At 47.6% G+C, this 12,964-nt stretch overlaps 1 protein-coding gene across 9 annotated transcripts in view, besides 1 other annotated feature; it reads left to right on the forward strand.

Annotated features, from left to right (window-relative positions):
* HK1 (hexokinase 1) overlaps positions 1–12,964 on the forward strand; it is a 131,883-nt gene that overhangs the window by 16,694 nt on the left and 102,225 nt on the right. For 8 of the 9 annotated variants that reach the window (XM_047425137.1, XM_047425136.1, XM_024447969.2 and 5 more), the window contains 2 exons: positions 1,978–2,077; positions 8,940–8,987. In XM_047425137.1, the coding sequence (XP_047281093.1) occupies positions 2,051–2,077; positions 8,940–8,987 (75 nt within the window). In that variant the 5' untranslated portion in view covers positions 1,978–2,050. Of the gene's footprint in view, positions 1–1,977; positions 2,078–5,564; positions 5,658–8,939; positions 8,988–12,964 lie in introns of all 9 variants that reach the window. The other variant, NM_001322365.2, reaches the window with a different exon arrangement.
* Positions 4,484–4,984: an enhancer, noted in NCBI's record as "H3K4me1 hESC enhancer chr10:71050933-71051433 (GRCh37/hg19 assembly coordinates)". NCBI's record gives its function as "activates a minimal SCP1, AML or CMV promoter by ChIP-STARR-seq in primed H9 embryonic stem cells {active_cell/tissue: H9 hESC(primed)}" and the evidence as "EXISTENCE:reporter gene assay evidence [ECO:0000049][PMID:30033119]".

Below are 12,964 nucleotides of genomic sequence, written 5' to 3' on the forward strand. Positions count from 1 at the left end.
ATGTGCTACCATGCCCGGCTAATTTTTTGTATTTAGTAGAGAGGGGGTTTCACCTCGTTGGTCAGGCTGGTCTCGAACTCCTGACCTCAGGTGATCCACCCACCTCGGCCTCCCAACGTGCTGGGATTACAGGCATGGGCCACCTCATGAGGCGCCTGGCCTCATGCTTTGCTTTGAACTAGGGGAACCATCAGTGCCTCTGTCGAGGAAGCTCATAGAGAAACCAGGGACAAATCCTAGAAGGCTTTACGCTTTCAGCCAGGGCTCTCCATATCATTTTGGTTATGCACTCCATCAGTAAAATATTTTTGTAGACACATTGTATTAGTCTGTTTTCGCACTGCTATAAAGAAATGGCCCTCAATTATGTCATAATAACATCACACAAGTATTTCAGTTGAAAAAAAAGAAAAGAAAGAAAAAGAAATGCCCGAGACTGGGTAATTTAAAAAGGAAAGAGGTTTAATTGACTTACAGTTCAGCATGGCTAGAGAGGCCTCAGGAAACTTGTAATCATGGCGGGAAGGCAAAGGGGAAGCAAGGCACCTTCTTCATACGGCTGCAGGAAGGAGAGGTGCAGGGTGAAGGGGGAAGAGCCTCTTATAAAACCATCAGATCTCATGAGAACCCACTCACTATCACAAGAACAGCAGGGGGGGAACCGCCCCCATGATCCAACTCCTTCCACCTGGTCTCTCCCTTGACATGTGGGGATTATGGGGACTATGGGGATTATAATTCAAAATGAGATGTGGGTTGGGACACAAAGCCTAACCATATCACACATTCCTCAGTACATATATTTTAATTATTTTGAGATTATATATCTTTATAAGTCCACTTATGCGAAATGGCCAGAAGGCAAATTCACAGACACAGAAAGTAGATTAGTGGTTGCCAGGGGCTGGGGGAAGGATCGAATGAGAATGGCTGGTAATGGGTATGGGTTTCCTTATAGAGTGATGAAAATTTTCTGGAATTAGTGATGATGGTTGCACAACCTTATGAATATACAGAAAACCACTGAATTATACACTTTAAAGGGTGAGTCTTTTGGTATGTGAGTTATAGCTCATTTTTTAAAAAATCACATATAAATAATGTGTACATTATAAAGAATAGCCTTAAAAAGTTATAGGGTGAGATTTTAAAAGTCGTAAGTAGACTGAATGCAGTGGCTTACACCTGTAATCCCAGCACTTTGGGAGGCTGAGGCAGGGTAATCACTTGAGACCAGGGGTTCAAGACCAGCTTGGGCAACATAGCAAGACACTGTGTCTACAAAAAAAAAAAAAAAATTAAAAATTAGGCTGGCATGGTGGCCCATGCCTGTGGTTGCAGCTACTCAGCAGGCTGAGGCAGGAGGATTGCTTGTGTCCAAGAGTTCAAGTTTGAGGCTGCAGTGTGCTACGATGGCACCACTGCACTCCAACCTGGTCAACGGACTGAGACTCTGACTTGGCCTTTTGGAGATGTCTTTGCTAATTTCCACTTCTATTGGATTTCCTCTCCAAAGCATGACTCTTTCTTTGGACATAGTCATAAGCAGAGAAGGTTGTAGTTGGTGACGAGGTACCACTTCCAGACCAGGCTCCAGGGAATTTCTTCTAGAATGACAGGCTGCCAGAAACCTTGACTGGGTGCAGTAGCTCAGGCCTGTAACCCAGCACTTTAGGAGGCTGAAGTGGGAGGTTTGCTTGAGCCCAGGAGTTCGAAACCAGCCTGAGCAACAGAAGCTGCAGTGAGCTATGATGGCGCCACTGCATTCTAGTCTGGGCAACAGAGCAATACTCTGCCTCAAACAAACAAAAGGAGAAACTTTATGACATTTTACCTGGGTTTACGAATACTCTAGAAATGTGTCTGCACTATGTCTTGGTTCTCAGTATTAGGGTGTTTAGCTTCCTAATTGGTGAGGACAAAAATGAGACCGACAATCCTCTGACCCTGCCTTCTTTGAACTTGGCCTTTCTCTAGGCGTTCAAGACCCAGCTGTTGAGAGTAGAAAAGCAGAAGAAAGGACCCGAGGTCAGCAAGTGCCCTCCCCACAATGGGGCAGATCTGCCAGCGAGAATCGGTAAGCTCTGGTGTTTCTTTCTTTCTTTCTTTTTTTGAGACGTTTTTGTTCCATCGCCCAGGCTGGAGTGTAGTGGCGCGATCTCGGCTCACTATAACCTCTGCCTCCCGGGTTCAAGCGATTCTCCTGCCTCAGCCTCCCAGTAGCTGGGATTACAGGCATGGGCCACCACACCTGGCTAATTTTGTATTTTTTTGTAGAGATGGGGTTTCTCCATGTTGGTCAGGCTGGTCTCAAACTCCTGACCTCAGGTGATCCGCCCACCTCGGCCTCCCAAAGTGCTGGGATTACAAGCCGCTCTGGTGTTTCTTTAGCTTCTCAGAGGGCTCACATGTACCATAGCCTGCTCAACCTGCTCTCCCTGGCAGAGGGGTGTGTTGGGGTCCATCTTAGAGGAGGGAAAACTCTGACCAAGAGCACAGCAGGAAAGCGTCATGAGGCAAGGCAGGAGCCCCCTCAGACCCAGCCTCTAAGTCTTGGTGCAGCAGGGGCCACTTGTGTTCTGACCAAGGGAAGCCCAGAGGATCGTTCTGTATCCCCCTGGTTAATTGCTTTTTAGACAGTTATGCTGTGAAGTCATCAGTGTGTGCTGGAAATAGGAGTTTGGCTTTTTCTTCTCTAAGAGAAGCCCCCTCTGGCTGAATTTTATATTGCCATGTAAAAATGGGCTTCTGCCCATTAAAAAAAAAAATTTTTTTTTTTTTTTTTTTTTTTTTTTTGAGATAGAGTCTCATTCTGTTGCCCAGGCTGGAGTGCAATGGCATGATCTCGGCTCACTGTAACCTCTGCCTCCTGGGTTAAAGTGATTCTTGTGCCTCAGCCTCCCTAGTAGCTGAAATTACAGGCGTGCGCCACCATGCCTGGCTAATTTTGTATTTTTTTGTAGAGATGGGGTTTTGTCATGTTGCCCAGGCTGGTCTCGAAACCCTGGCTTCATATGATCCGCCCACCTCAGCCTCCCGAAGTGCTGGGATTATAGGCGTGAGCTACTGCACCCGGCCAATTTTTTTTTTTTTTTTTTTTAAATTTTAACAGAGACAAGGTCTTACTATGCTTCCCAGGCTGGTGTTGAACTCCTGGCTTCAAGTGATCCTCCCACCTCATCCTCCCAAAGTGTTGGGATTACAGTGTGAGCCACTGTGCCCAGCCCAGAAGCCCGTTCTTACATCTTAAAGAGCTTTGATTCTCCCCCTGGATGTTGAAATAAACCCTGGAAAATGTTTATAGGATAAATTATGTTCTGAGTAGCGGGCTCATTTCAAATTAATCTATGCTGTAGGTGGGTCCCTCTGAAGCAAGGACTACAGCTGTTCCACCCCGCCCCCCACCAACAGAACAATCTGGGAAATTGAGACACAGTGGGCTTGATCTCAAAGACAAACACAGTGCTCATACTAACTGAGTGCCCTGAGCCCAGAACACTCTCAGAGCCCCATTTAAATCACTGCAGTGGCCTGGCCTGTTTGCTTTATGAAGACTTTCCCCTGGTCAGCCCTTGGGTGGCAAATTAATTCCTGATTAGTATCTGAAAGTGGACAATACAAGCTCAAGGAGTTGCTTCCACCTCGAGGCAAGAGGTGAGGGTCTTGGGCACGCCTGGGGTGGTTATCTTTCCCTCAGTCCTACAAGAGTAGCTTACAATGCCCTCTTCAGCTTCTTTGAGAAGGGCTTTGCAAAGTCCAGCTCAGGTGCATCCCTCCTGCCTCCCAGGGTTTTTCGTTTGTTTGTTTGTTGTTGTTGTTTTTGAAACAGAATTTCACTCTTATTGCCCAGGCTGGAATGCTATGGTGCAATCTTGGCTCACTACAACCTCTGCCTCCCAGGTTCATGCAGTTTTCCTGCCTCAGCCTCCCCAGTAGCCGGGATTACAGGCTCCCGCCACCACGCCTGGCTAATTTTTTGTATTTTTAGTAGAGACGGGGTTTCGCCAAGTTGGCCAGGCTGGTCTCGAACTCCTGACCTCAGGTGATCCACCCGCCTCAGCCTCTCAAAGTGCTGTGATTACAGGCGTGAACCTCTGTGCTCAGCCCCTCTCAGGCTTTTGAGAGGATTGAATTCTGTCCTGTTCCTAATGCCCAACTGGAAGCTCTCAGCCTCATTCTCCTTTGTGGAATCCAAGGCTCCTGTGTGGTTGTCAGTGGGGAGTGGAGGCCACTAAATACAGAAAATCAAAATTCCTCTTAGCCGTTGGGTCTCTTAGGCCTCTTCCTTTTCTCCTCCTTCACCCCGCAACCAGAGTGAGAAAAGTTTTGCCTGCTCTGGGAAAGAAGGAGCCCTTCTAAACCTGGAAGCTTGTTTGGGATGTCATTGCCACCTCTCATGGCCCCCTTCTTGTGCCCCTGCCTGGCTTTGCCAGTCCCAGGCAGAATGCCACCAGGAATTTAAAGCAGGCCAGGCCAGCCTTGGAGAGGTGGCACAAAGCAGCCAGTGTCACAGGCGCCATGTGGCAGTCAGCAGGTTTGGACTCCTGCACCCAGAGTTCAGTGTCAATCTGACGACAGGCCCTCTTTGGTGCTTGGAGGTCCAGGGAGAGGAGCACAGGTTCTGGGATCTCAGACACAGATGGAAATCCAGCAGCTGGACGTTGATTTGGTCCCATCAATTAGCCCAGAGCAGTTGTAGTTCTTATTGCCTGGAGCCTCTGTCAATCCATGATCTTTATTGTAGCTGCTGCCATTTACCAAGCAAATCCTCTATGCCCACCACTCCCAAAGGCCCAGTGAAGAAGGTGTCATTCCCACTTTACAGATGGGGAAACTGAGGCTTAGAGAGGTTAAATTCCTTTGCCAAGCTTGTACAGCTGGTCCTGGCAGATCCAGGACATAAACTCAGGACTCTCTCACTCCAGGACTGTGCTCTTTCTACCCACCATCAAGCTCAAGGCTGAAAGTGAGGTGTGTGACTCCAACCCTATCTTCCTAAGGATAGATATATTTTGAGTTGTTCCAAGCTTAGAAACTCATGCTCGGGATATTGAAATTTCCACTGTTAGTGTAAGGAAGGGCCAAAAATTGCATGGTCCATTTGGTTTCTTTCTCATAGGTTTCCTGACAATTCCAAGCCCCAGAGAGTATTTTTCCCTGTTGCCTTACTATTAATTCTCATGTAGGCTTGGAAGTATCTGCAAGCCTTCATTAGAGCCATTTCAGCAGGGAGTTGGCTATCATGGGGGTGTCAGTGTAAGGCCTAGGCAGTTTTGGCTTTGGGCATGTGGAAAACCTGCCTGGATTGTTCTGGAAGCTCAGACTGTCTATGGGATGCTATTTTTTGCTTCCGTAGTTTTCCTAGGACCATAATTTTTTTTAATTTTATTTTTTATAGATGGGATATTGCCCTGTCACCCAGGTTGGAGTGCAGTGGCACAATCATGGCTCACTGAAGCCTTGAACTCCTGAGCTCAACTGATCCTCTTGCCTCAGCCTCCCAAGTAGCTGGGACTAGAGGCGTGTGCCCCCACAACCAGCCAGTTTTTAATTTTTTTTTGTAGAGACAGGGTCTTGCTATGTTGCCCAGGCTGTTCTTAAATCCCTGGCGTCAAGTGATCCTCCTGCCTCAGCCTCCTAAAGTGCTGGGATTACAGGTATGAGCCACTGCACCCAGCTTAGGACCTTGATTATGTGAGGTAGGACAAGAAGTGCTGGAAAGATCATCCCTGCCCTCCAGGGGAGATACACACATGGATTACCCCTGATTCTTACAGGGACTACCTGCATGTCCATGGGCTGCTATGCAAGCTTCCAGGAACTTCAGTCTCCTTCCTTATAGAGTGGGATTGCCCCTTGTGCTCTGTCACTCTGGGTTCCATCCCTTCTCACCCACTAATAGTGGGGAGGAAGAAGAAGAGCTAATATTTATGCTGTGCTTTCTGGGTCTGGGCACTAAGATAGGAGGCACTTTACAGGTTGTTATTACAGATAAAGGGCTGAGGAGGGCCTCAGTATTCGTATTCGTATTTTTCCCCCAGTTTTCCCCCAACCTCCAGTGCTGCAGAGATACCTGCAGGGGTGAGTGGAGATTGACAATCAGAATCCTATGAGATCTCCAAGTTGAGAGCAGAGTCCTTTGAAGTCCCTAGGCGTCACCAATATACTTGAGTTTGGGCTACATCTGTTCTGACTTGGGGCTCCCCAGAAAGTTTGTCTCTAGCAGCCCTGAGATTGGTTGGGACCAGGACCCACCCTATCCCCTGCTAGTGGTAGGTGGAAAGGTGGGGTGAGGCTCTAATCCATCTGATTCATCTCCCCTTTCACTGGACAAGACTGATTTGGCCTCCACTGGCTCCAGAGCAGGCATGCTGGCTACACTCCCAACACTCATTTCTGGAGGTGTGACTTGAGCCCATTACCAAGCATTTTTATTCACCCCCCTGCTCCCTATCTGGCATCTTCTGTATGTGGGGACGTTTATCAACTCTGTGCTCCTTGGGTAGCCTTCTTCTGTGCCCAGTGACACAGGACAGCTCAGTTCCCAGCCTCAGCCAGATGCCCTGGGCATGTTAGGCAGGTGGGCTGGTACTCACATGTGCCTGAGGTTCCCAGCCTCAGTTCACCTCCAATAGGTCTAGGTTTCCTTTTCCATGAAGTATTCCAGCAACCAGAAAGTCAAGCATCTAAACAGGCCAGCTTGCACATGATTTTTGGAGATACTGGAGGAGGAAGGAAGATATCTCCAAGATATGTATGCACTGTCATTTCTGCCTCCAACCTTGAAACCCTTCTCTGTATCAGCCAGCTTTTGCTATGTGTGTGGTGTAATAAATCACCTTAATACTTAGTGGCTTAAAACAATAATCTCTTATTTACCGGCAATCCTGTGAGTTGGTAATTTGGACTGAGCTCACCTGGAACGGCTCTTCTCTGTCCCATTTACTGTCAGACTGGCTCCCTCAGAGGTCTGCAGGCAGCTTGAGGTCTGTGGCTTCTCTTCCACATCTGAAAGTTGACTGGCTGTAGGCAAGGGTGGTAACTGGGCCATGTGCCACACATGTTCAGCAGAATAACTGGGGCTCATTCACATAGTGGTGGTTGCAAGGGTTCCAAGAGCAGCATGGGAAGTCAAGCCCCGAAGCACAAGCATATTTCTTTCTTTTTTTTTTTTTTTTTTTTTTTTGAGACAGAGTCTCCCACTTTGGCTCAGGCTGGAGTGCAGTGGCGTGATCTCGGCTCACTGCAAGCTCCGCCTCCCGGGTTCACGCCATTCTCCTGCCTCAGCCTCCCGAGTAGCTGGGACTACAGGCGCCCACCACCACGCCCGGCTGATTTTTTGTATTTTTAGTAGAGACGGGGTTTCACCGTGTTAGCCAGGATGGTCTCGATCTCCTGACCTTGTGATCCACCCGCCTCGGCCTCCCAAAGTGCTGGGATTACAGGCGTGAGCCACCGCGCCCGGCCCTGCACAAGCATATTTCAAGTGTCTGTTTGCATGGCATTGCTATTGTCCTATGAGCCCAAGCAAGTCACATGGCCAGTTCTGGAGTTGCTGTGAGTGGAGACTATGTAAAAGCATGGGTATAGGGAGGAGAATTAGTGTGGCTGTTTTTTGCAAACAATTTACCACACCCTCCCTATCCATTCAGCTATCATCAGGAAAAAATTCATATGAGCTTTTCTCTTGATTGGCAGCAGCTTCCAAAATTTGTGAGGCAAAGGAAGTTATAAAAAAGCAGAATCTGCCAGGGGCAGTGGCTCACATCTGTGATCCCAGCACTTTGGGAAGTTGAGGCAGGTGGATCACTTGAGCCCAGGAGTTTGAGACCAGCCTGGTCAACACAGAGGGACTCCATCTGTACAAAAACTAAAAAATGTGGCCAGGCACGGTGCCTCACACTTGTAATCCCAGCACTTGGGAAGCTGAGGCAGGCAGATCACTCAAGTTCAGGAGTTCAAGACCAGCTGGGCCAACATAGAGAAATCCCATCTCTACTAAAAATACAAAAAAAATAATTAGCCGGGTGTGGTGGCGGATGCCTGTAATCCCAACTACTCAGAAGGCTGAGGCAAGAGAATCGCTTGAACCTGGGAGGCAGAGGTTGCAGTGAGCAGAGATCATGCCACTGCACTCCAGCCTGGGCAACAGAGCGAGACTCCATCTCAATAAATAAATAAATAAATAAGCCAGGTGTGGTGTTGCACACCTGTAGTCCCAACTACTTGGGAGGGTGAGGTGGGAGGATTGCTTGAGCCCGGGAGGTCGAGGCTGCAGTGAGCCTTAATCATGCCACCGCACTCCAAGCCTGGGCAACAGAGAGAGAGAGAGAGAGAGAGAGAAAGAGAGACCCTGTCTCAAAAAAAAAAAAAAAATAGCGAGGGGAGGGCAGAATGCTAACTCATCTTTCGCAGACCCTGCCAAGAGCTGGTCACTGCTTGATGGCCATGTTGCCTCCTTGCTCATCAGGGAAGCATTGCATCTTCAGGGTGGGAGACACAGCGGGGCCTGCGGTTCAGTAGGGATTAGATGCCTGTGCTCCCACAGCTCCTCTCCAGGCCTCTGCCGCAGCTCCGGTGCTGCTGCGCTTCCATTACTGACCGGCACATCTGTCTTTCTTAGTGGATTGTGGGCTCCTTGAGGGCCGAACCACGGTTGTCTTTCATCTTGGACTCTCCAGCTTCCAACACAGTGCCTGGTACATTTGTAAGAACCTAGTGTTTGTGTGAATAAATTCATGAATTGCACATGACTGAGCTCTGCTGCATTTCATCCAGAGAATTGGTAATCATGATAGAATTTGCTTAGACATTCCAAGGTTACTTGTAATTACTTTTGTTTTCTGAGCGTGATTGATTAGTTATAAGCATCAATATGTTGTGAATGCAAGTTGCTAAAATGCATTTGTAACACTTTACTTGTCCTGTCTTTCTCTAAGGCTACAGCAGCTGAAAAACCAAAACTTCATCTACTTGCTGAAAGTGAGGTAAGAAAGCTATTTTTTTTTTTATTTCCTTCTGTAACATTTTCTGTAAAAGATAGTGCGTGGCAATCCCCTTTGGGATAATGATTTTCAGCCAGCCAAGCAGCTGTGCAGTGGCTTCTCCAGGGTGTGGAGCAGTATTGACCTCCAACTTGCTCCCTGCTGGACTCAGTACACCTGAACAGGGAAGGTGCTTTCCAAGGGTGCCTAGTAACAGAGGCCCCCTTCTTAGCCCTTTCTTGGAAGCAGAATGCTAATTGTCAGAGCCAAACACAAGGCCTTCCTGCCTTGGGGATGCATGGTGTCCTGATTGTGAGAGACCCTGGGAGGGGAAATGGAAGGGTCTCTCCCCTCCCGTCTTTTCCATTTTACAGTCAGGCATGCCAGAAACTTGGCACCCATCTGCTCTGCACTTCAATATGGACAAGTTTCAGATCTTTCCTGTCGACATATCCCATTTAGCCCCAAATCAAAGAGTTTCCTGCGCTGTTTGTGCTGACCTACCCTCTTCCCTCCCATTCCCCAAGCACACAGCTTACTATCTCTTTAAAGTGGCAACAGAGTGGATCTGAGATGGGTTGCTTCATGCGAAGGTGGTGAGGTGTACACTTTATGAATCAGCTTGGGAGAAAAGCACAGAAACTCTCGATTTCCCCTGTGTCCGGGGCCATTACCTAGTCCCAGGTGAGGGCCAAAGCTGGGTGTGGATTCAACCTGGAGCCCCAGAGCTCTGCCCTGCTCCTCATTCCACTGATTGCGTAGCTTTATTCTTGTTCTTTTGAAAATAAATAAGACTCGGTCTCCAGCCTCAAAAGACTTAATGACTGAGAAGTGAAGCTCAATATTTTTTCAAAAGAGAAAGTTACAACATAGGTGAAACGTGCTTTAAGAGCTGGGTGAGGGAGTGGTCAACCCCGTCTTGGGTCCAGATAACAAAGGCTGGATAGAGGTGATGAGATTTGCAGAGAGTCTTGAAGAAGAGGAAAGCATGTGTCAGGCGAGGAAGGGCATTTCAAGCAGAGAGAGCAGCATGTGCCAAAACAGAGCCTGCAAAAATGGGAAAAAGCTGGGGAGACTGAGGAGGTTGGATGGGACTGGGATTGGTTGTCCAGTTGAGAAACTCTGACAGCATGGCCTGAAGGATCCTCTAGGCTGAGGAGTCCTGTGATTACATTGTTTTCTGTCTGGCAGTAGCAAGGAGCTTGAGCTGGAGGAAGCCTTGGGCATCCAGGAAACCAGAGAGGGGGTAGGGGGCATAAGTGTAGTGAGACCTCCAGGATGTGTGCTGTGCAAGATGATCTACTTCCCAGTGGGAAGAAAGTACAGTTGACCCTGAAGCAATGAGGGGGTTATGGACACTGACCACCCCCACATCATGCAGTAGAAAATCCATATATAACTTTCTACTCCCCCAAAACCAAACTGCTAAAACTACTGTTGACCAAAAGCCTTACTGATAACATAAAGTCAATTAACAAATATTTTGTATGTTTTATATACTATATTCTGTATTCTTACAATAAAGTAAGCTAGAGAAAAGAAAATGTTATTAAGAAAATCATAAGGAAGAGAGATAGATTTACTATTCTTTAAGTGGGAGTGGATCACCATGAAGGTCTTCATCCTTGTAGTCTTCACTTTGTGTAGGCTGAGGAGGAGGTAGAGGAGGGCTTAGTCTTGCTGTCTCAGGGGTGGCAGAGGCAGAAGAAGATCCAGGTGTAAGCAAACTCCTGCAGTGCAAACCGGTGTTGTTCGAGGGTCAACTGTATTACAATTCCATTGTCACCAACTTTTTAAAGACAAATCAACGTTGGTGGCCTTGCAGGTACCCAGGACTCTCACAATGAGGAGGGGTTGATAGTGGCCCCCTCCTTTATTTCCTAGACCATCTTTAGCATATTCTGAAGCATCGCAGCTTTAGAATTGCTTGGTTGAGGCCGGATGTGGTGGCTTATTCCTGTAATCCCAGCACTTTGGAAGGCCGGGGTTGGCGTATCACCTGAGGTCGGGTGTTTAAGACCAGCCTGGCCAACACGGTAAAACCCCATCTCTACTAAAAATACAAAAATTTAGCCAGACATGGTGGTGTGCATCTGTAATCCCAACTACTTGGGAGGCTGAGGCACGAGAATCGCTTGAACCTGGGAGGCGGAGGTTGCAGTGAGCTGAGATCCTGCCACTGCACTCCAGCTTGGGCCACAGAGTGAAACTCTGTCTCAAAAAAAAAAAAAGAAAAAAAAGTGCTTGGTCGGGCCAGGTGCGGTGGCTCACGCCTGTAATCCCAGCACTTTGGGAGGCCGAGGCAGATGTATCACCTGAGGTCAGGAGTTCCAGACCAGCCTGGCCAACATGGTGAAACCCCGTCTCTACTAAAAATACAAAAATTAGCCAGGCGTGGTGGCAGGCACCTGTAATCCCAGCTACTCGGGAGGCTGAGGCAGGAGAAATGCTTGAACCCAGGAGGCGGAGGTTACAGTGAGCTGAGATCATGCCATTGCACTCCAGCCTGGGCAAGAAGAGAGAAACTCCATCTCAAGGAAAAAAAGAAAAAAAAAGAATTGCTTGGTTGAAGTAGTCTTACGTATCATGTTATTTGGGTTTAATTAGACTGATCCTCACAAAATAGGCAAGTGGTTTTAAAAGATTTCTGCATAAAAAATGTGGGTTGAGACAGGTGTAGTGACTCATACCTGTAATACCAGTGCTTTAAAAGACCAAGGAGAGGATCACTTGAGGCCAGGGTCTTGAGAACATCCTGGGCAACATAGCAAGACCTCATCTCTAAAAAAAATTGTAAAAATTAGCTGAGCATGGTGATGTGTGCCTACAATCCCAGCTACTTGAGAGGCTGAGGCAGGAGAATTGCTTGAGTCCAAGAGTTTGAGGCTGCAGTGAGCTATGATTTGTGCCCCTGCACCCCAGCGTGGGTGACAGTGAGACCCTGTCTCTTAAAAGGAAAAAAAAAAGTAGAAGCTTTTGAAGCTAACACAAATGAACAATGAGAAAATAAGATGGCTGATAATTTTCCTACCCCTGGTACAGACTATTCAGCTACATCATGGGGTTGAAAGAAGATAAAGATCTTATTAGATATAATGCCAAGTCAGTCAAAAAATTAAAAATTAGCAGGCTATTTAAATTCTGGCTTTACATATGATATTGTTAATGATGAACTAATCACTATGTGTACAGAGTGCCTTGAGAGAATTAGCTAATGACACTACTAGGCCACCAAATTTTAAAATAGTTCATCTTTATCTCTTTATTTATTTATTTTTTGGAAACAGAGTCTCACTCTGTTGCCCAGGCTGGAGTGCAGTGGCATGATCTCAGCTCATTGCAACCTCTCCCTCCTGGGTTCAAGTGATTCTTCTGCCTCAGCCTCCCAAGTACCTGGGATTACAGGCGTGCGCCACCATGCCCGACCTATGTTTTTATTTTTTTTAAATGAAAGTATAATTTACTACCAGTCAAACACACAAATTCTGTAAGCTTAATAAGTGTGTTGTTGTTGAAACAGGGTCTCGCTCTGTCATGCAGGCTGGAGTGCAGTGGTGCGATCTTGGCTCACTGCAGCCTCCACCCCGTGGGCTCAAGTGACCCTCCCACCTGGTCTCCCAAGTAGCTGGGACTACAGCCATGTACCAGCCTGCCCATTTTTTTGTTTGTTTGTTTGTGGTTTTTGTTTGTTTGTTTGTTTGTTTGTTTGAGACGGAGTCTCTCTCTGTTGCCCAGGCTGGAGTGCAATGGCGTGATCTCGGCTCCTGCAACCTTCGCCTCCTGGGTTCAAGCGATTCTCCTGTCTCAGCCTCCCGAGTAGTTGGGATTACAGGCGTGCGCCACCAGGCCCAGCTAATTTTTGTATTTTTAGTAGAGACGGGGTTTCACCATGTTGGTTAAGTTGGTCTCGAACTCCTGACCTCGTGATTGCCCAGCTCGGCCTCCCAAAGTGCTGAGATTACAGGCGTGAGCCACCGCGC

This window comes from Homo sapiens, chromosome 10 (assembly GCF_000001405.40).
Source record: "Homo sapiens chromosome 10, GRCh38.p14 Primary Assembly".
Classification (NCBI taxonomy): domain Eukaryota; kingdom Metazoa; phylum Chordata; class Mammalia; order Primates; family Hominidae; genus Homo; species Homo sapiens.